The 22,683-nt window shown below is 40.6% G+C and overlaps 1 long non-coding RNA gene across 2 annotated transcripts in view; it reads left to right on the top strand.

Moving 5' to 3' along the window:
- LOC105376156 (uncharacterized) overlaps positions 1-19,946 on the top strand; it is a 40,336-nt gene extending 20,390 nt beyond the window's left edge. The window contains exons 3-4 of one of the 2 annotated variants that reach the window (NR_188613.1): positions 9,158-9,238; positions 17,828-19,946. This is a non-coding gene — a long non-coding RNA (uncharacterized LOC105376156). The remainder of the gene's footprint in view (positions 1-9,157; positions 9,239-17,827) is intronic. The other variant, NR_188614.1, reaches the window with a different exon arrangement.
- The last annotated feature ends 2,737 nt before the right edge of the window (positions 19,947-22,683 follow it).

Raw genomic sequence — 22,683 nt, 5'->3', positions numbered from 1 at the left:
AAAAATTTAGCGTCAGAAACTCAGCTGCTATCCCTTTTTACAACTGTATCTCTCTGAGCAACTCCAGTCCTCTTTCCACCCTTTCCCCACGCCATTGCCCCTCCCCCATATCCTACTTGCTTATGATTAAAAGCATCAGAGAAATTGCAAAATGCATTGCATTACACAATTCCTTCTTTATAGCTGTGAACCCACTAGAACTAAAAGTTTCCAGCAACTTCATTTCTTTTTATGCCTTGTATCCATGCAAGAACCCAAAGACAATGGAACATAATGAAAACCAACAGGTTCCATCCTGAGGTCTCCCCTTTCAAGATGTGGAAGGAGGAGGACAGGTCTAACCTGGAGTAGCCTAGTCCAGGCTCCCCGACTCCCCAACCTGTTTGACTTTGGGGATGTCCCTTCATGCTGATGAGCCTCAGGTTTACCACTCAGAAAACAAGTAAGGACGAAGGGCTCAACCACCTACTTCAAGGATCCATTGAGGCAGGGTGTGTGAAAAGGCTTCGTAATATTTAATGCACCATTAGTACGACTCCAGTCTCAGAAGGGCTGGGTGGAGTCCATATTTTTTTTGTTAATAGGAGGCTGACTGCGTTCTGGTGCTTCTTGAAAGGTCATGGTTCCCAAGGTCTCCCCAGGTCACAGTGGCTGAGTGGAAGCTGAGGATGAACCCAGGGATTTGGGTTTGGGAACGTTCTAGAAGGGAATACAAGGTATTAGTGACTAGAGTCACTAATACCTTGGAGGCTTAGAGCAGAATCCTCCCCCACTCCCTTGCCATCCGGGCACCAAATACTGTTGATTTCTCCATTGTGATGCCTTCTCCACCTCCATACACTCTTTCCACTCTCATCACTTCTAGGGAAACACACTGGTACTCCTACGATGGGATTTGTGGTTGATCTTTACGCTACCCTCACCCTTTTTGTCCCTTCTGCACATGCCTACCAGATTAGTCCTGGTTAAACCCCACTTAGCATATGTCAGGCTCACTGTTTGGAGATTTCGGTGGTTCCATCATGTTCATATACAAAGTCCCTCTTTCTTCACTGGGCATTTTAGGTCCCACAGTGATGCACTGTCTGCTTTGCTGACTCACTCTCTTCTCTTCCATTTTAAGTCCACCTGGTCATTTGAAAGTCTCTTTTTCCGTAAGTGTATGTTTCATAGCCTCTTTTATTTCTTGAAATATATTTCTTCAAATATATTCCAACTGGTCATTGTGCATTCTGTGCATGGGCATTCTTTTTTTAATTATTATTTCAATAGGTTTTTGGGGAACAGGTGGTGTTTGGTTACATGAATAAGTTACTAAGTGGAGATTTCTGAGATTTTGGTGCACCCATCACCCAAGCAGTGTACACTGTACCCAATGTGTAGTATTTTATCCCTCACCCCCTCCTATCCTTTCCCCCAAGTCCCTGAAGTCCACTGCATCATTCTTATGCCTTTGCATCCTCATAGCTTAGCTCCCAATTGTGAGTAAGAACATACGATGTTCGGTTTTCCATTCCTGAGTTACTTCACTTAAAATAATGGTCTCCAATTCCATTCAGGTTGCTGCAAATGCCAATATTTCGTTCCTTTTTATGGCTCAGTAGTCTTCCCTGGTGTATATATACACCACATTTTCTTCATCTACTCGTTGACTGATGGGCATTTGGGCTGGTTCTATATTTTTGCAATTGCGAATTGTGCCGCTATAAACATGAGTATGCAAGTATCTTTTTTGTAAAATGACTTCTTTTCCTCTGAGTAGATACCCGGTAGTGGGATTGCTGGATCAAATGGTAGATCTACTTTTAGTTCTTTAAGGAATCTTCACAGTGTTTACCACAGTGGTTGAATTAGTTTACCTTCCCATCAGCTGTGTAAAAGTGGTTCCCTTTTCACCACATCCATGCCAACATCTATTATTTTTCAATTTTTTTATTATGGCCATTCTTGCAGGAGTAAAGATATCGCATTGTGGATTTGATTTGTGTTTCCCTGATCATTAGTGATATTGAGCATTTTTTCATATGTTTGGTGGCCATTCGTATATGTTCTTTTGAGAATTGTCTATTCATGTCCTTAGCCCACTTTTTGATGAGATTGTTTTTTCTTGCTGATTTGTTTGAGTTCCTTGTAGATTCTGGATATTAGTTCTTTGTCAGATGTATAGATTGCAAAGATTTTCTCCCACTCTGTGGGTTGTTTACTCTGGTGGTTATTTCTTTTGCTGTGCAGAAACTTTTTAGTTTAATTAAGTCCTATCTATTTATCTTTGCTTTAGTTGCATTTACTTTTGGGTTCTTGGTCATGAAGTCTTTGCCTAAGCCAATGTCTAGAAGGGCTTTTTCAATCTTATCTCTTAGAATTTTTATGGTTTCAGGCCTTAGATTTAAGTCTTCAATCCATCTTGAGTTGGCTTTTGTATAAGGTGAGAGATGAGGATCCAGTTTAATTCCTCTACATGTGATTGGCCAATTGTCCCAGCACCATTTGTTGAATAGGGTATCCTTTCCCCACTTTATGTTTTTGTTTGCTTTTTTGAAGACCAGTTGACTGTAAGTATTTGGCTTTATTTCTGGGTTATTCATTCTGTTCCATTGGTCTATATGCCTGTTTTTATACCAGTACCATACTGTTTGGGCAACAGTGTCCTTATAGTATAGTTTGATATCAGGTAATGTGATGTCTCCAGATTTGCTCTTTTTTCTTAGTCTTTGCTTTGGCTATGCAGGCGCTTTTCTGGTTCCACATGAATTTTAGGATTGTTTTTTCTAGTTCTGTGAAGAATGATGGTGGTATTTTGATGGGAAAAGCATTGAATTTGTAGATTGCTTTTGGCAGTATGGTCATTTTTACAATATTGAGTCTACACATCCATGAGCATGGGATGTGTTTCCATTTATTTGTGTCATCTATTATTTCTCTCAACAGTGTTTTGTAGTTTTCCTTGTAGAGGTCTTTCACTTCCTTGGTTAATTATATTCCTAAGTATTTTATTTATTTATTTATTTATTTATTTATTTGCTGCTGTCGTAAAAGAAGTTGAGTTCTTGATTTGATTCTCAGCTTGGTTGTTGTTGGTGTAAGCAGGGCTACTGATTTGTGTACAGTAATTTTGTATCCTGAAACTTTGCTTAGTTCTTCTGCCAGTTCTAGGAGCTTTTTGATGAGTCTTTATGATTTTCTAGGTATACGATCATGTCATCAGCAAACAATGACAGTTTGACTCCTCTTTACCTATTTGGATGCCCTTTATTTATTTCTGTTGTCTGATTGCTGTGGCTAGGACTTCCAGTACTATGTTGAATAGAAGTGGTGAAAGTCGGCATCCTTGTCATGTTCCACTTCTCAGGGGGAATGCTTTCAACTTTTCCCCATTCAGTATAATGTTGGCTGTGGGTTTGTTATAGATGGCTTTTATTACCTTAAGGTGTGTCCTTTCTATGCCTATTTTGCTGAGAGTTTTAATCATAAAGGGATGCTGGATTTTTAAAATGCTTTTTTCTGTGTCTGTTGAGATGCTCATGTGATTTTTGTTTTTAATTTTGTTTATGTGTTGTATCAGATTTATTGACTTGTGGATGTTAAACCATCCCTACATCTCTGGTATGAAATCCACTTGATCATGGTGGATACTTTTTTGATATACTGTTGGATTTGGTTAGCTAGTATTTTGTTGAGGATTTTTGCATCTATGTTCATCAGGGATATTGGTCTGTAGTTTCTTTTTTGTGTGTGTTATGTCCTTTCCTGGTTTTGGTATTAGGGTGATACTGGCTTCATAGGATGATTTAGGGAGGATTCCTTCTTTCTCTGTCTTATGGAATAGTGTCAGTATGATTGGTACCAATTCTTCTTTGAATGTCTGATACAATTCAGCTGTGAATCCATCTGGTCCTGGACTTTTTTTTGTTGGTAACTTTTTAATTTCCATTTTAATCTCGCTGCTTGTTATTGGTCTGTTCAGAGTTTCTATTTCTTCCTGGTTTAATCTAGGAGGGTTGTATATTTCCAGGAATTTATCCATCTCCTCTAGGTTTTCTAGTTTATGTGCATAAAGGAGTTCATAGTAGCCTTGGTCTTTTGTATTTCTGTGGTATTGGTTGTAGTATCTCCCGTTTTGTTTCTAATTCAACTTACTTGGATCTTCTCTCTTCTTTTCTTGGTTAATCTTGATAATGGTATATCAATTTTATTTATCTTTTCAAAGAGCCAGCTTTTTGTTTTACTTATCTTTTGTGTTTTTCTTTGGTTTCAATTCCATTTAGTTCTGCTGTGATCTTGGTTATTTCTTTTCTTCTGCTGGGTTTGATTTGGTTTGTTCTTGTTTCTCTAGCTCCTTGAGGTGTTGACCTTAGATTGTCTGTTTGTGCTCTTTCAGACTTTTTGATGTAGGCATTTAATGCTATGAACTTTCCTCTTAGCACCACCTCTGCTGTATCCCAGAGGTTTTAATAGGTTGTGTCACTATTATCATTCAGTTCAAATAATTTTTTAATTTCTATCTAAATTTCATTGTTGACCCAATGATCATTCAGGAGGAGCAGGTTATTTAATTTCCATGTATTTGCATGGTTTTGAGGGTTCCTTTTGGAGTTGATTTCCAATTCTATTCCACTGTGGTCTGACACAGTACTTGCTATACTTTCAATTTTCTTAAACTTACCGAGACTTGTTTTGTGGTCTATCATATGGTCTAAAATTTTGGAGAATATTCCATGTGCCAATGAATAGAATGCATATTCTGCAGTTGTTGGGTAGAATGTTCTGTAAATATCTCTTAAGTCCATTTGTTCCAGGATATACTTTAAGTCCATTATTTCCTTGTTGACTTTCTGTCGTGATGACTTGTCTAGTACTGTCAGTGGAGTATTGAAGTCCCCACTATTATTGTGTTGCTGTCTATCTCATTTCTTAAGCCTAGTAGTAATTGTTTTGTAAATTTGGGAGCTCCAGTGTTAGGTGCATATATATTTAGGATTGCGGTATTTTCCTGTTGGACCAGTCCTTTTATCATTATATAATGTCCCTCTTTGTCTTTTTTTAAACTGCTGTTGCTTTAAAGTTTGTTTTGTCTGATATAAGAATAGCTACTCCAGCTCACTTTTGGTGTCCATTTGCATGGAATATCTTTTTCCACCCCTTTACCTTAAGTTTATGTGAATCCTTCTGTGTCAGGTGAGTCTCTTGAAAACAGCAGATACTTGGTTGGTGAATTCTTATCCATTCTGCCATTCTGTAACTTTTAAGTGGAGCATTTAGGCTATTTACATTCAATGTTAATATTGAGATGTGAGTTACTATTCTATTCACTGTGCTATTTATTTCCTGAATACCTTGTGGGGTTTTTTTTTTCATAGTATTGTTGTTTTATAGGTCCTGTGATATTTATGCTTTAAGGAGATTCTATTTTGGTGTATTTTGAGGATTTGTTTCAAGACTTAGAGCTCCTTTTAGCAGTTCTTGTAGTTCTGGCTTAGTAGTGGTAAATTCTCTCAGCATTTGTTTGTCTGAAAAAGACTATCTTTTCTTCATTTCTGAAGCTTAATTTCACTGAATACAAAATTCTTGGCTGATAATTGTTTTGTTTAAGGAGTCTAAAGATAGGACCCCAATACCATCTAGCTTATAGGGTTTCTGCTGAGAAATCTGCTATTAACCTGATGGGTTTTCCTTTATAGGTTACCTGATTTTTTTTGCCTCCTAGCTCTTAAGATTCTTTCCTTTGTCTTGACTTTAGATAACCTGATGACTGTGTGCCTAGGCAATGATCGTTTTGCAATGAATTTCCCAGGTGTTCTTTGAGCTTCGTGTATTTGGATGTCTAGATCTCTAGCAAGGCCAGGGAAGCTTTCCTCGATTATTCCCTCAAATATGTTTTCCAAACTTTTAGATTTCTCTTCTTCCTTGGGAATATCAATTATTCTTAGGATTGGTCACTTAACATAATCCCTAATTTCTTGCAGGCTTTGTTGATTTTTTAAAAAATTTATTTTTCTTTGTCTTTGTCAGCTTGGGTTAACTCAAAAGCCTTGTTCTTTAGCTCTGAAGTTCTTTCTTCTATTTATTTGATTCTATCGCTGAGACTTTCCAGTGCATTTTACAATTCTCTGTGTCCTCCATTTCTAGGAGTTGTGATTGTGTTTTATTTATGCTATCTATTTCACTGAAGATTTTTTCATTCATATCCTGTATCATTTTTTAAAATTATTATTTCTTTGAGTTGGACTTCTCCTTTCTCTGGTGCCTCCTTGATTGGCTTAACAGTCAACCTTCTGAATTCTTTTTCTGGCAATTCTGAAATTTTGCCTTGGTTTGGATTCATTGCTGGTGAGCTAGTGTGATCTTTTGGGGATGTTAAGGAATCTTGTTTTGTCATATTACCAGAATTGTTTCTCCAGTTCCTTCTCATTTGAGAAGACTGTTTCAGAGGGAAGATCTGGGGCTCAAGGGCTGCTGTTCAGATTCTTTAATCCCATAGGATGCTCCTTTGATGTGATACTCTCTGCCTTCCCCTAGGGATGGCGCTTCCTGAGAGCCAAACTGCAGTGATTGTTATTTCTCTTCTGGATCTAGCAACCCAGTGGCGCTACCAGGCTCCTGGCTGGTACAGGAGAATGGACAGACCTGATCCATCTTCAGGCCTGTCAGCCATGGATACCAGAACCTGCTCTGGTGGAGGTAGCAGGGGAGCCAAGTGGACTCTGTCAGAGTCCTTGGTTGTATTTTTGTTAAGTGCCCTGGTTTTGTGTTGGTTGGCCCCCAGCCAGGAGGTGGCACTTTCAAGAGTGCATCAGCTGTGGTTGTATAGGGAGGATACAAGCTTGCCCTAGGGTAAGGCAGTGGGCAGGGCCATAGAGCTCCCAAGGGATTATGTCCTTTGCCTTCCACTGCCAGGGCAGGTAGAAAAAGACCATCAGGTGGGGGCAGGGTTAGGTCCGTCTGAGCTGAGACTCTCTCTGGGCAGAGCTTGCTGCAGCTGCTGTGGGGGATGGGGGCATGATTCCCAGGCCAATGGAGTTATGTTTCCAGAGGGATTATGGCTGCCTCTGCTGCGTCATACAGGTCGCCAGGGAAGTGGGGGAAAGCCGGCAGCAGCAGGCCTCATCCCACTCCCCTGTGCACAGGCATTCTGTTTGGTGTCTTTGTTCTCCTGGTTCTGCTGTTTGTTGCTTTGCTGGTGCTCACTCACGATACCTTGTTCTCTCACGTGCTCCGTGACTGCTTTCATCGTGATTCATGTTGGCCATAATATGATCTGAAGGAATTACTTGAGGCCTGGGTTTAAGGTCATTCCCCCAGAGAAGATTTTAGTTTGCACCACCATGGATCTCAGATACTATCAACTCTGGTTCACTTGGAAGTAAGTTCTTGGCTTGAGATTTATCAAGCTACATGGACAGTGTAAACTGGGGCCTCATTTCTTCATAAGTGAAGAACAGCAACCTCCGCTTCCCGAGTTCAAGCAATTCACAAGGGCCTGCCCTGTGGTTACAAATTTCAGGGACTTTTTATTTTTTCCTGTGTAAAAGCCAAAAGAGGACAACTTTTCTTCCAATGCCCCATTGAGGGTCATATGTTTGTCTAGGTCACACATTGAAGGTGTGTTATACAGGACTTAGGTTTATGGTGGGAGAGATCCCCAATGTGACTTCTCTTCTCCCCTGTCACCCTGTGCAACCCTTTAAAACCAACACTCAGGCCAGGCGCAGTGGCTCATGCCTGTAATCCCAGCACTTTGTGGGGGCTGAGGCAGGCAGATAGCTTGAGCCCAGGAGTTCAAGACCAGCCTGGGCAAAAGAGTGAAACCTCATCTCTACAAAAAATACAAAAATTAGCCAGGTGTGGTGGTGCACATCTATAGTCCAAGCTACTTGGGAGGCTGAGGCAGGAGAATCTCTTGAGCCCAGGAAGTCGAGGCTGCAATGAGCTGTGATTGTGCCAATGTACTCCAGTCTGGGCAACAGAGCAAGACAAAAAACCAACTCCACAGGCAATCAGGGAGGGATAAAGGCCCACAGAGCAGCAGCTGGCTTCAGTGCTCATCACTGAATTCATGATTTAAAAAAATTTTATTTAGTACACAATAGATGTACATATTTTGGGGATACATGTGACAATTTGAAACATTCATACAATTTGTAAAGAGCAAATTCATGTAATTAGGATATCCATCACCTTAAATATTTGTCTTTTCTTGGAGCTAGAAACATTTGAGTTATTCTCTTCTAGCTACTTTGAAATATACACTAGATTATGGTAAACTATAGTCACCCTCCTGATCTAGCAAACAGTAGGTCTTATTTCTTCTATCAAACTGCATGTTTGTACCCATTAATTAACCTTCATTCACCACCACTGCCTCTTCCTGGCCTCTGGTAACCACTAATCTACTCTATGAGAGTATATTGAATAGGCACTCCATGAAATCCACTTTCTTTTTTTTTTTTTTTTTTTTTTTTTTGAGACGGAGTCTTACTCTGTGGCCCAGGCTGGAGTGCAGTGGTGTGATCTTGGTTCAGTGCAACTTCTGCCTCCTGGCTCAAGCAATTCTCCTGCCTCAGCCTCCCAAGTAGCTGGGATTATAGCCGTGAGCCACCGTGCCCAGCTAATTTTTGTATTTTTAGTAGAGACAGGGTTTCACCATGTTGGCCAGGCTGGTCTCAAACTCCTGACCTCAGGTGATTCACCTGCCTCGGCCTCCCAAAGTGCTGGGATTACAGGCGTGAGCTGCCATGCCTGGCCAAGACCCACTTTCTTAGCACCCACATATGAGTGAGAACATGTGGCATTTGCCATTCTGTGCCTGACTTATTTCATTTAACATAATGACCTCCAGTTCCATCCATGTTGCTGCAAATGACAGTATTTTATTCTTTTCTATGGCAGAATAATATTCCATATTGTATATATACCACATTTTCTTTATCCATGTATCTGTTGGTGGACACTTAGGTTGATTCCACATCTTGGGTTTCGTGAATAGTGCTGCAGTAAACATCGGGGTGCAGGTATCCCTTTGATGCATGATTTCCTTTCCTTTGGGTAGATACTCAGCAGTGGGATTGCTGGATCATATGGTAGTTCTAGTTTTAGTTTTTTGAAAAACCTCCATACTGTTTTTCATAATGGCTGTACTATCTTATATTCCCACCAACAGGGTACAAAGGTTCACCTTTCTCTGCATCCTCACCAGCATCTGTTATTCCCTGCCCTTTTGATAAAAGCCATTTTAACGGAGGTAAGGTGATCTCTCATTGTGGGTTTGACTTGCATTTTCTGATGATTAGTAATAATGAGCATTTTTCATATACTTGCTGTCTATTTGTATGTCTTATTTTAAGAAATGCCTATTCAGATCTTTTGCCCATTTAATAAATCAGGTTGTTTTTTTTTTTTTTTTTTTTTTTTTTTTTGCTATTGAGTTGTTTGAACTGCTTATATACTCTGGTGATTAATCCCTTGTCAGATGGATTGTTTGCAAATATTTTCTGCCATTCTATGGGTTGTCTCTTCACTTTCTTGATTGTTTCATTTCCTGTGCAGGAGACTTTTAGCTTGCTATACTCCCATTTTTCAATTTTTGCTTTGGTTGCCTATGCTTCTGAGGTCTTACACAAAAAAATCTTTGCCCAGATCAAAGTCCTCGAACATTTCCCTAAGGTTTTCTTATAGTAGTTTCATAGTTTCAGATCTGAGATTTAAATCTTTAATTCATTTTGTTTTGATTTTTGTATATGGTGAGAAATAAGGATCTAGTTTCATTCTTCTACATATGAATATCCAATTTCCCCAGCGCCATTTAAGAGACTGTCCTTTCCCATTGTATGTTCTTGGTAACTTTGTTGAAAATGAGTTTGCTGTAAATGCATGGATTTATCTCTGGGTTCTCTATTCAGTTCCACTGGTCTATATGTCTGTTTTTTATGCCAATACCACGCTGTTTTGGTTATTATAGCTTTGTAGTACGTTTTGAAGTCAGGTAGTGTGATGCTTCCTTTGTTCTTTTTGCCCAGGATTGCTTTGGCTATTCAGGATCTTTTGTGGTTTTTTTATAAATTTTAGGACTGTTTCTTCTATTTCTGTGAAGAATGTCATTGGCATTTTGATAGGAATTACATTGAATCTGTACATTGCTTTGGGTAGAATTGTCAATATTAATTCTTCTGATCCATGAGCATGGATGTCTTTCCATTTGTTTGTGTCCTCTCCAATTTCTTTCATCAGTTTTTGTCATTTTCCTTACAGAGAAATTTCACCTCCTTGGTTAAAGTTATTCCTTGTGTGTGTGTATGTGTGTGTGTGTGTCTATTATAAATGGGATTATTCTCTTGATTTCTCTGTCATATTCTTTGCTATTGGTGTATATAAATGCTACTGATTTTTTTTTTTTTTAGACGGAGTCTGTCTCTGTTGCCAGGCAGATCGTGCAGTGGCGCGATCTAGGCTCACTGCAACCTATGCTTCCCCAATTGAAGTGATTCTCCTGCCTCGGCCTCCTGAGTAGCTGGGACTACAGGCCCACTGCCACCACACCCAGCTAATTTTTGTATTTTTTAAGTAGAGATGGGGTTTTACCATGTTGGCAAGGATGGTCTTGATCTCCTGACCTCATGATCCATCTGCCTCAGCCTCCCAAAGTGCTGGGGTTACAGGCGTGAGCCATCACACCCAGCCTCAGTGATCTTTTTAACGAGTTGTTGAATTCAGTTTACTAGTATTTTGTTGAGGATTTCCCAACCATGTTCATCAGTGATATTGGCTTGTAGTTTTCTTTTTTGGTCTGGTTTTGGTATCAGGGTAATGTTGACCTTACAGAGTGAGTTTGCAGTTATTCCCTCCTGTCCAATTTTTTTTTTTTTTTTTTTTTTTTTTTTTTTTTTTTAGGAGTTTGGTTAGAGTTTGGTTTAGAATTCAGCACTAAAGTCATCAGGTCCTGGGCTTTTCTTTGATGAGAGACATTTTATTACGGCTTTGATCTCCTGATTCATTATTGGTTTGTGGATGTTTTCTATTTCTTCATTGTTCAATTTTGGTAAGTTGTATGTGTCCAGGAATTTATCCATTTTTCTAAGTTCCCTAGAATTTTTAAAAATTTGTTGGCATGTAGTTGTTCATAACAGTCTCTAATGATTCTATTTCTGTGGTCTCAGTTGTGTCTCCTTCTTTGTTTCTAATTTTATTTGGGTCTTCTCTCTTTTTTTCTTAATCTAGCTAAGGGTTTGTTGATTTTGTTTATTTTTTCAAAAAACCAACTTTTCATTTTATTGATCTGTATTTTTAAGTCTCAGTTTCATATATTTCTGCTCTGATCTTTATTATTTATTTCCTTCTACTAATTTAGGGTTTGGTTTTTTCTTTTTTTCTAGTTCCTTATGGCACATTTTAGGTTGTTTATTTAAAGTCTTTCTACTTTTTTGATATAGATATTTATTGCTATAAACTTCCCTCTTAGTACTGCTTTTGCTATATTCAATAGATTTGGTATGTTGTATTTCCTTTGTGATGTAGTTCAATAAATTTTTTAATTTTCTTCTTTATTTCTTTTCTCACCCATAGGTTGTTCAAGAGCATGTTGTTTAGTTTCCATGTGTTTTGTGGTTTTCAAGGTTCTTCTTGCTACTGATTTCTAGTTTTATTCCATTTTTGTTAGAAAAGACACTTGATATGATTTATATTTTTAAAAAATCTGTTGAGACTTGTCACATGGCCTAAGATATGATCTGTTCTGGAGAATGTTCCATGTCCTGATGAAAATAACGTGTATTCTGCAGCATTTGGGTGAAATGGTCTGTAAATGTCGCTTAGGCCTATTTGGTCTGCTATGTAGTTTAACTCTGATGCTTGAATTCATGCTTTTAAGTACTTTTTTGGAATTTGAGGATTTCCCTTACTTTTTGAAAATGTAACTATAAAGTCTTTAAAAAATAAGCATTTTTAGGGATTTTGTAGAGGAATGATTTTCAGGACATCTAGTCTACCTTATTGCTATTACTTCTGTACAAGATTTCTTGGATCATCCAAGTAATCTTTTTGTTTTGCGAGCCTGCCATACACATTGCAGCTTCCTAACCATAGCTCATTATGTCTTGTCTCTTTGGAATGCCATAACCATGTTCACTCACTCTCACCTCGAAGCTTGTCTAAGCATTGTTGTTTTGTTTTGTTTTTTTTGAGATGGAGTTTCACTCTTGTTGCCCAGGTTGGAGTGCAATGGCACGATCTCGACTCACCACAACCTCCACCTCCTGGTTTCAAGCGATTCTCCTGCCTCAGCCTCCCGAGTAGCTGGGATTACAGGCATGTGCCACTGTACCCGGCTGATTTTGTATTTTTAGTAGAGACAGGGTTTCTCCATGTTGGTCAGGCTGGTCTCGAACGCCCGACCTCAGGTGATCCGCCCACCTCGGCCTCCCAGAGTGCTGGGATTACAGGCATGAGCCACTGTGCCCAGCTAGCGTTGTTCTTTTTTAAGGGCTAGATCAAGTCCTGCTTCCTCCATAAAGTCTTTCCCTACAACTTTAGGTTTCCATAGGCGTTCCTGTTATACTTTGTGTAACCCAGTTATCACTTACCTGTGCTGTAATGCTGCTTATCATTTTCTTTAGTCACTACCAGTTTTGAGGGCTTCCTACATGTCAAGCACAGAGTCAAGTACTTTTCATGTATTATACCATTTAACCTTATAAAAACCCTGACAGGTGACTACAGCCAGCACCCAATTTTTTAAATGAGAAAATCCTAGTGTCAGAGAAGTTAAGGAACTTTCCCAAGGTCATATAGCTAGTAAATTAATGGAGGCCAGATTCATATCCAGGACCACTGGATTTCAAATTTCATTCTAATACCCACTAAACAAAACCACATTACACAAAACTAAACGTGTAAGTTTCACATTAAGTTTTCACAGTCATATAGTTTGTTCTCTAAGGGTAGAAAAAATACCTCATACATATTCTCTGCATCCAACACAAAATTATTTTCTCAACAAATATCAATTACTTGTTTATTAATCCGACATGTATTAAACCATCTACTGTGACAGACAGCATGCTAGACTTCATGTTGCAGAAAAAAAGCAGACAAAATCTCTGACCTTGAAGAGTTCAAAAGCCAATAGAGAGTCCTCCTTACCTGCAAGAGATACATTCCAAGACCCCCAGAGGATGCCTGAAACCACACATAGTACCAAACGCTATATATACTAGTTTTTTGGTCTGATAACCAAGAGGACTACCAAGTAACTAGTGGTCAGGCAGCATATGCTGAGTAGATATGCTGGATAAAGAAATGATTCACGTCCTGGGTGGGATGGAGCAGAAAGGGGCAAGATTTCATCATGCTACTCAGAACAGTGCAAAATTTAAAACTTATGAATTCTTTATTTATGGAATTTTCCATTTAATATTTTCAGACCACTGTTGACCACAAGTAACTGAAACTAACTTTCCAAGCAAAAGCATGGATAAGAGGAGACAACTGTAATAGGACTTCCAATTCCACCAAGATGAAGTAGCTCCTTTTCCCCCAGGTCCTCTCCTTTACAACTAAAACCCATGGACATAACACAACAAAATAAAAAAATGCTGACAAAAGAAATCAACCTATATACCTATAATCAACCTATAAGAAATGACCTATATAAATGGAGAGACATACTAATTCATGAATTGGAAGATTCAGTATAGTAAGCATGTCATTTCTTCCCAAATTGATCTACAGATGTAATGAAATTCCTATCAAAATCCCAACAAGGTTTTTTTATAGACAAAGGTAAGTTTATTGTAAAATTTATATGAAAAAAGCGCAGGCCCAAGAATAGCTAAAACAATCTGGATGAAGAAGAAGAAAGTGGGAGAAATCACTCTATTTGATTCATTAATTCAATTTCATTACAACTATTATCAAGTTGGGGAGAAATGACATCTTTACTATACTGAATCTTCCAATTCATAAGTACAGTATGTCTCTCCATTTATTTAGTTCTTCTTTGATTTCTTTCATCAGCATTTTGTAATTTTCAACATACAAATTCTATTCATGTTTTATTAAGTGTATATTCTAGGCATTTCATTTTATTTGGAGCAATTAATTATAAATGACATTGTGTTTTAAATTTTGCTTTCCATATGTTCATCGTTAATATGCAAAATGTGATTGACATTTGTGTATTACTCTTGAATCCAGCAACCTTGCTGAACTCACTTACCAGTTCTAGGAGCTCTTTTTTGGAGATACCTTGGGGTTTTCTGTGTAAACCATCTTGCCATCTGAAAATAGGGACTGTTTTATTTTTTCCTTAAGGCTTACAATAATAGCTGTAGTCATTAGACCATATTATATTGGCAGAGGCATGGATGCAAAGATGATTGGAGCAGAATAGAGAACCCAGAAATAGAGCAACAAAAAAATGCTCATCTGATTTTTTACACAATTACAACAAATGGTGCTGGAGCAACTGGACATTGACCTAAACCACATAAATTACACCAAAAACATAGCTCAAAATGGATGAGGGACTTTAAAACTATAAAACAGTCACTCTAGAAAACAGGTTGGGCTGGATGCAGTGGCTCATACCTGTAATCCCAGCACTTGGAGGCCGAGGAGGGAGGATCACTTGACCCCAGGAGTTCAAGACTAGCCTGGGAAGCATGGCGAAATCCATGGTCTCTACTAAAAATACAATAAATTAGATGGGCGTGGTGGTGCATGCCTATAGTCCTAGCTACTCGGGAGGCTGAGCTGAGAGGATCACCTGATCCCAGGAAGGTCAAAGCTGCAGTGAGCCATGATCACACCACTGCACTTCAGCCTAGGTGACAGAGTGAGACCCTGTCTCAAAAAAAAACAAAAAAGAAAAGAAAACAGATTGGTAGTGCCTTAGAGAACTGAACATGCAACTACGATACGACCCAGCAATAGTTCTCTTGGTGTTTACTAAAGGGAACTTCAGAAGCTTTTCCAAAATTCACATGGAGAAGCAAGCTGCCAAGAACAGCACATGCTAAGGAAAAGAAGAAAATTATAGAAATAAACAGGCAGCATCATTCTGTTTATATAACGTTCAAAAGCAGGCACTAAAGGAGATATGGTTCACAGATACACACACGAGTGGTAGACGTGCAAATCCCTCCAATCACCTCTGGCTGAACGTCCTAAAGGTACCAAGTAGAGTAAAGCGAATCAGATGCTTCCCACTATCGTATTCTGTGCCTGTGAGTCTGAAGCCACCTATAATACTGAGATGTCTCAGGAAGGAAATATTCTTGTAACATGGTTTCACTGATAACTCTTTTAAAATCTGAAATCCTTAATATCTGAAATAATAAAGAATTTCTTTCCATATTATGACATACAGTGCATACCCATTGGCTGGTGATAAAACTATTACAGAAATAAGATATAAATTGCTTGAAAAGGTGTTTGGAATTTTGTAAGATAAAAAGTATTTCAGTCTCCTATTTCTTTGTAACTTACAAATTAAGAATTAAAAGATATTCATTCCAACATGCAAATAGCACTCTTCATACTAGAATAATCTACAGTTGAAATGCAGAAGTCAGTCCTAAATTAAAGGTATGGTTTTACTTTTAATACTTTCTTTCTGAAAATCAGGCATGTTTAAGTTAATTTAAAATTATTTTGAGAAAAAAGGAGTCACTATCTTCATTACAAATATTTGTGATCATGCATCCTTTAGCGAAGTAATAATGAATGGTTGGACTTCTTTAGGCATGAAGACAGTCTAAGCTTAGGGCCTAGACCTTATTTCCTTCCAACACAAAAATGGCAGTCTGAGTAAATTAACCTAAGTAGTGACACAGGAAACAAATCATGCCCAATTCCCAACCTCGAACCCAACAACTTGCTTCCAACAGTTAATGGTCTTCCTTATCACTCTTATTAGGGCACGACAGATTCCATCTAACAGATCTGCAATTACCATAGTTCCTTTTCTTTTAATCCAGTATTTAAACCATTCAATGATTTCCAGTTTCACAGAATCCATATCTACCTAAGCCTAAGTGGACAAAGTATAATTCAGCGAACAATTCCCATCTGCAGGAAAACTAACCATATAAAACATGTTTTCGGAAACACTTGTCCCCATTACATGGTTAGGAAGCAAAATTCAACAAGTAGTCATTGACAATTTTGCCTCTTTCATAAACCACACTTTGAGATGTATAAAAGTATTGCTAATTTCAAATAAGAGAAGAAGCCAAGTCTAATTAATTTTTTCCTCAGAAAATCTGAAATCTTACCATATGTTTAAAATGGACTTATTATTCAGCACTCTTTTAATGTTTTTGTTTTTTTAGGAGATGGGCTCTCAGTATGTTGCTCAGGCTGCTCTGGAGCTCCTGAGCTCAAGGGCAATGTTCCCACCTCTGCTCCCAAGTATGCACTCATTTATGTAAAGGTTGGTGTTGATAAAACACATATTGACCAAGCCCCTTAATAAGACGGTTGAAACACAATTAAGATAAGTAGGTTTAAACCAATCACATTTTCTCAGTGCTGCCACCATTGACATTTTGGGCCTGACAATTCCTTGTTGCAGGGGCCTGACCTGTGCCTTCCCGCCTTCTACCCCCTCAATGCCAGGAGCCCCCTCACAAGTTGTGACAACCACACATGTCCCCAGACATTGCTCAAATCCCCTCAGCAGCAAAACCGCCTCAGCTGAGCAGCTCTTGTTTAAACACACACCCATTTTTAGAACTGAGTTTGGATTACAGTTTTTGAACATTCATCTTGTCTCTGGGTTAAAGATGAATGTTACCAATATAAAGGAGATTTGTGTGGCTGATAGAGAAACACTCAGGAGTTACTATCATGTGAAGAAAGCAAGTCATATAATACAGTCAGCATAATTCCACTTATGTGAAAACAAACGTAAAAGTTATTTCCATATATAAAGGCAAAGAAGACTACAAGAATCTGCACAGCCCACTGATATCAGGTTACTTCTGAGGAGGCTTTTGAGGTTAGGGGGAGACTGCTGTGCTTGGACTGTTGGATTTTTTTTTTTAGAAACTGTATTGATGTATTAATTGTGTAATTAAAATAATAAAGGAAAGAAAGGTCTTGGAGCTTTAAAGTTAAACAGACTCTCAGTCCTAGCTAGTGACCTTAGGGTAATTTTATTTATTTTTATATTGTTATTATTATTATTATTATTATTATTCTGAGACAGAGTCTCACTCTGTGGCCCAGGCTGGAGTGCAGTGGCACAATATTGGCTCACTGCAACCTCCGCCTCCCAGGTTTGAGCGATTCTCCTGCCTTAGCCTCCCGAGTAGCTGGGATTGCAGGCATGTGCCACCACGCCTAGCTAATTTTTGTATTTTTAGTAGAGACGGGGTTTCACCATATTGGCCAGGCTTGTCTCAAACTCCTTACCTCAAGTGCCTTGACCTCCCAAAGTGCTGGGATTACAGGTGCGAGCCACCGTGCCTGGCCTTAGGATAATTTTTAAAAACGGTGTTAGGTCTCCTCAGTTTTCAATTCCATAAAATGTAGATGATAAAACTGACTTTGAGGAAGTTCACAGAAGTGAGTGAGGCACATGCACGGGAAGCAGCGAGCATTACGCGCTCCCAGCACGTCTCCCATCTGATGCTGCTGTATCTGAAGTCGCAGTTCGGATGAGCATGGAGTATAATCTGAGAGCTGCGTAACCCCAGTTCCTGGGTTCTGGATACCTCTAACCTTCTCCCTTCTCCCTCTTCATGGTCACGGCCAAGGCCCACCTCCTGCCCTCTGGCTCATCTCCAATGCCTGCTCCTGCATACATACACTCACCTGACGATATCATCTCTAGGTCTGCCACAAATGTATGCAGAGGCCCAGGAGGAGCCAAGACTGAAAACCGGAGGGCCTAAGTCAGCGTTTCTCAGGATGTGATGTGCAGAGACCTCAATCTGAATTATCCTGCAGACCACCTTGGTCCCACCCAGCCCACTGAATCCAAACCTTTGGGGGTGGGCCCTAGAATCTGCTCTTCCAACAGGACAAACACCCCCTTTCCACTGCACTGTAAAGTCTGGGGCTCACCAGCCACAGACCTGACTATAGCTCAAATGCTGTGTGTCTTTATCTCCTGTGCACTAGGGAAAGAACCAGGAGAGGACAGCATAGGGGGAAGCCCAGGTCATCCTGTGACCTCCCCACCTCTGCCGGAGTGACCCCTTCCTCTGGTTCAAAATCTCCAACAACAGGGTGCAGACATGACCTAGACCACCGTGTGTGGTGAGATTACTTGAGGACCTGAGGTAGAACGCTTTCAGGATGGAAACGTCTCAAGACTTGGAGTCAGACCCATTTAGGTTCAACGAGTGGTTCTGCCACTCAGTAGCACTGAGCACACGTAGAGTCCAGATCTTGGTTTCCAATCAAAGGAATCAGGGCTCCTTGGAAAGATGGCTGATTCTAAGGCTGGGGCAGGAAACATGCAAGATGAGCCTGGAGCTTCTCGTAGTGACAGGAAGTAAGGAAGCACTCAAGTGTCCCCCCCACCCCCACACACCCCCACCATTGGTGGAGCTATGTCAGAGGGGCGCAGAGACAACTGCAAGGCTTCTAATGGCCAATGCTGGAACAATGACAGCAAGGAATAAATAAAGTGATATTTAATTATAACCCAAAGCATACTACAGCTGTTCATGATCCCATACTGACATAAATAAATTGTTGAATAAATTAATAAATGGAGAAGAAACAAACCTTCCAGGCAGAAGAATTCCAAATAATGTATGTAGATGCTGCACACTGAGAGAGATAAAGCATAGCTCCCCACTCCTAAGTGTGGGCTACACATAGTCACTTTCTGCTCAAGAGTACAGGATGGAAAAAAGGAAAAAAAGAGTAACATTCCAATCACCTGCACCATTCAGGTGATCGAGGTCCTCATCAACAGTCATAAATGGGCCAGGCACAGTGGCTCATGCCTGTCATCCCAGCACTTTGGGAGGCCGAGGCAAGCAGCCCACTTGAGGCCAGGAGTTCGAGACTAGCCTGGCCAACATAGTGAAACCCCGTCTCTACTAAAAATTAAAAAATTAGCCCCGAGTGGTGGCACACACCTATAATTAAAGCTACTTGGGAGACTGAGGCAGGTTCAAGACTCGCTTGAACCTGGGAGGCAGAGATTTCAATGAGCCAAGTTCGTGCCACTGCACTCCAACCTGGGTGACAGAGTGGAGACTCCATCTCAAAAAAAGAAAAAAAAAACATAATTCATGTTGCTAGAGTGTCCCCTTGATATGGCACTTTCATTCTGTGACCTTCCTCCCCAAAATCTATAACCCGTGTCCAGTCATGTAAAAATCATCAAACAAATTCCAGGAGAGGAGCATCCTACAATACACCTCCCTAGCACTCCTCAAAACTGTCAAGGTCATCAGAAAAAAGGAAAGTCTGTCACGGGGTGTCCAATCTTTTGGCTTCCCTGGGCCACACTGGAAGAAGATGAATTGTCTTGGGCCACACATAAAATATGCTAACACTCAGGATAGCTGGTGAGCTAAAAAATAAAAAAGGTCCGTGCATCAATCTCATAATGTTTTAAGAGAGTTTACGAATTTGTGTTGGGCCACATTCCAAGCTGTCTTGGGCCACATGTGGCCCATGGGCAGAGGATTGGACAGGCTTGGTCCGTCACAATCAATAGGAACCCAAAGAGACAGAACAACTAAATGTCCTGTGGTATCCTGGATGGGGTCCTGGAACAGAAAAGAGATACTAGGTTTAAAAAAAAAACTAAGAGAATCAGAATAAACGATGGACTTTGGTTGCTAATAATATATCAATATTGGCTTATTAATTGTAACAAATGTACCATACAATGTAAGGTGTTTATAACAGGGAAGCAAGATGGTGGGGCTGGGCTGGGAACTCTATCTGCTCGATTCTTCTGAAATAAAGAACTGCTCTGAAAAATATCATAAGTGCAAATCTTATAAATCTGGGGAGAAATGTTTAAAAGGTATTAATAATAGATGCAGCCCCTAATGCTCCCTAAAATCCTCAACAGCCTGGAAAATTGCCTTTGATGCAAAATAAAACGAATGATATGTTGTTGTTTTTAGAGGTAGAGCAGGAAAGTAGAGAGCAGAGCTGCCTGCTGATGAGGAGGCAGCAGGAAAATCTCATTAGCGCCTGAACCTCTGGTTCCTCAGGGTGTCCATGGGACCTGGTTGGTGAAGCTGTTTGTTATTTTTCCCAATTTTCCATGTTTTCCTGGTACTGAAAATACCTCTCCAGTAACTCTCCTAGAAACATGTAACCCCATGGAGAAAGCTAGACACACCCTGGGGCTAAACAGGAATGTCAGGACACCTTGCCTGGGTGGTCAGGAGAAGGTGCTTTAGTTACACCTACAATAAACTCCCGCGTGTCAGCAACCTGAATGGGTCTCTGCTCCTCGCAACAAGAAAGAAGCACAGAAAGGACGGAAGTTACTCAATGTACAGTGGCACATTGGTGATTTCTTCTCAATGCAGCGGCATTATCAGAACCATGTGTTAGGGAAATAATGGCTTAAAAAAGAAAACTGGAGTTTGGAAGGCCCATTACAGCAGTGCTTCTCAGCTGTAGGGTGGGTGAGAATCCCTTAGAGAGCTGCTTCACATGGATTCCCAGGCTCCCGCCCCAGAGATTCAAATCCAGTAGGTGTGGGCTGGGGCCTGAAAATGTGCTTTTCTGGCAAACTCCCCAGTCCTGTGGCGGTGGCAGCTGGTCTTGTCCCACTCTGAGGAATTCTAAGGCAGGAGGGCTTTGCAAGTCTGTCAGGAACGAGAATGAGAACAAGAGGACAGGGTCAATAAATGACTCTCCTCTTCTGTGGTGCAGGATACCGTGTGCATTTTAGTACCTGGTATGTGGACACTAGACAATGATATCCTGGGACCTAGGACCACAGGGAACTCACTGTTACTTCCCCAGTGTTACATGCTGTCCGGTACAGAGGGTGAGCTTCATAAATAGTTGTTAGCTGAACAAGTGAATGTAACATGACTTAGCGTTTGCCTGGGTATTGGGAGTGATGACGGTTTGAGTGTTTATGTACCCCCCAAAACTCAAGTGTTGAAACTTAATCACCACTGTGATAGTATTAAAAGAAGGGGCTTTTCAGAGGTGACTAAGTCATGAAGGCAGAGCTCTAGTGACTAGGGTGAAGGCCTTTATAAAAGAAACATCACACAGCATTTGCCCCTTTTTTGCCCGTCCACTTTCTGCCGTGTGAGGACACAGCACTCAAGGCACAATCTTGGGAGCAGAGAGCACCCCTCACAGACACTGGACCTGTGGGTGCCTTGATCTTGGACTTCCCAGACTCCAGACCTGGGAGAATATACATTTCTGTTCTTTTTTTTTTTTTTTTTTTTTGAGACGGAGTCTCGCTCTGTCCCTCAGGCTGGAGTGCAATGGCGCCATCTCGGCTCACTGCAAGCTCCACCTCCCGGGTTCATGCCATTCTCCTGCCTCAGCCTCCCCAGCAGCTGGGACTACAGGCGCACGCTGCCATGCCCAGCTAATTTTTTGTATTTTTAGTAGAGACGGGGCTTCACCGTGTTAGCCAGGATGGTCTCGATCTCCTGACCTTGTGATCTGCCTGCCTCAGCCTCCCAAAGTGCTGGGATTACAGGTGTGAGCCACCGCACCCGGCCTTACATTTCTGTTCTTTATAAATGGCTCAGTCTATGGTATTTTGTTACAGCAGCACCAGTGGACAAAGACTGGAGTGGAAGTTAAATGTTTTGTTCTGGTGGAGGGGGACATGGAACAGTGGTGTCAAGAAAAGGACTGGAGATAAAAGAGAAGACTAGAACATGAAATAAAGGAATCAGCAGGGGCTCTTAATGTCAGCAGCTGAAACTTACTCCTGCTGCTTTAAGCGAGGAGAAAATTCACTGACAGGTTATAGGGTGGTTCATGGAGGCTAGAGAGCCCCGCAGGGCACCCACATGGGCGGGACCATAGTTGGGATTGCCCCGCAGAACTGCTCCAGGAGGACCCGGGTGTTATGGGTGCTGTACACAGGCTGCATTTCTTGCCCCGTGCCCACCTTTCCCGTGGGTGTCAGACACCCCCCCATACTGCCCCTTGAGTTCCCTGCCACTAAAGGTTCTCTGCTGTCACTGCTGGGCAGAACCTGGTAAGCCAAGCCTTTACCTGGTGTCAAGCGAGGCTGGGGAGGCAAAGATATGGAGGCTTCAGCCTCCAAGATGGGAGCCAGGATCAGGCAGGGCATCTCCCAAGTATAGAAAAGGGGCTAAAACTCACAAGCATCCAGGACATCTGGCTTCACAGATTGGTCAAGAGCACTCAGTTCAGCAATCAGAAGTGGCCAGGACAGGGGGAAAAAGTTCAGTCTGTGTTGCCTTCTTCACTGGCATTGCCAGGGGCACCTCAGTCCCCCAGAGGAATCATCCAAGAATACAAGTAACCAGAAAGTCAACTTAGCTTAAATGAAACCGTGTCTATTGCAAACCATTTTAGTAAAATAAACTTGCCCATACCAAATTAGGAAATCTGGAAGTAACTTCTGAATTACAATCTATGTAATTATTTTGTTGGTGAAACAATTTTTTTCTCATATACAATTGGGAAAAATAAATGGGTCAATGCTGTGATGTGAGACTACTGTGACATGGAGATTTCTATAGTATCATATTT

The sequence above is a fragment of the Homo sapiens genome, chromosome 9 (genome assembly GCF_000001405.40).
Source record: "Homo sapiens chromosome 9, GRCh38.p14 Primary Assembly".
Lineage (NCBI taxonomy): Eukaryota > Metazoa > Chordata > Mammalia > Primates > Hominidae > Homo > Homo sapiens.
The sequence above is the reverse complement of the archived record's forward strand: the minus strand, read 5'-3'. Positions and strand labels throughout refer to the sequence as shown.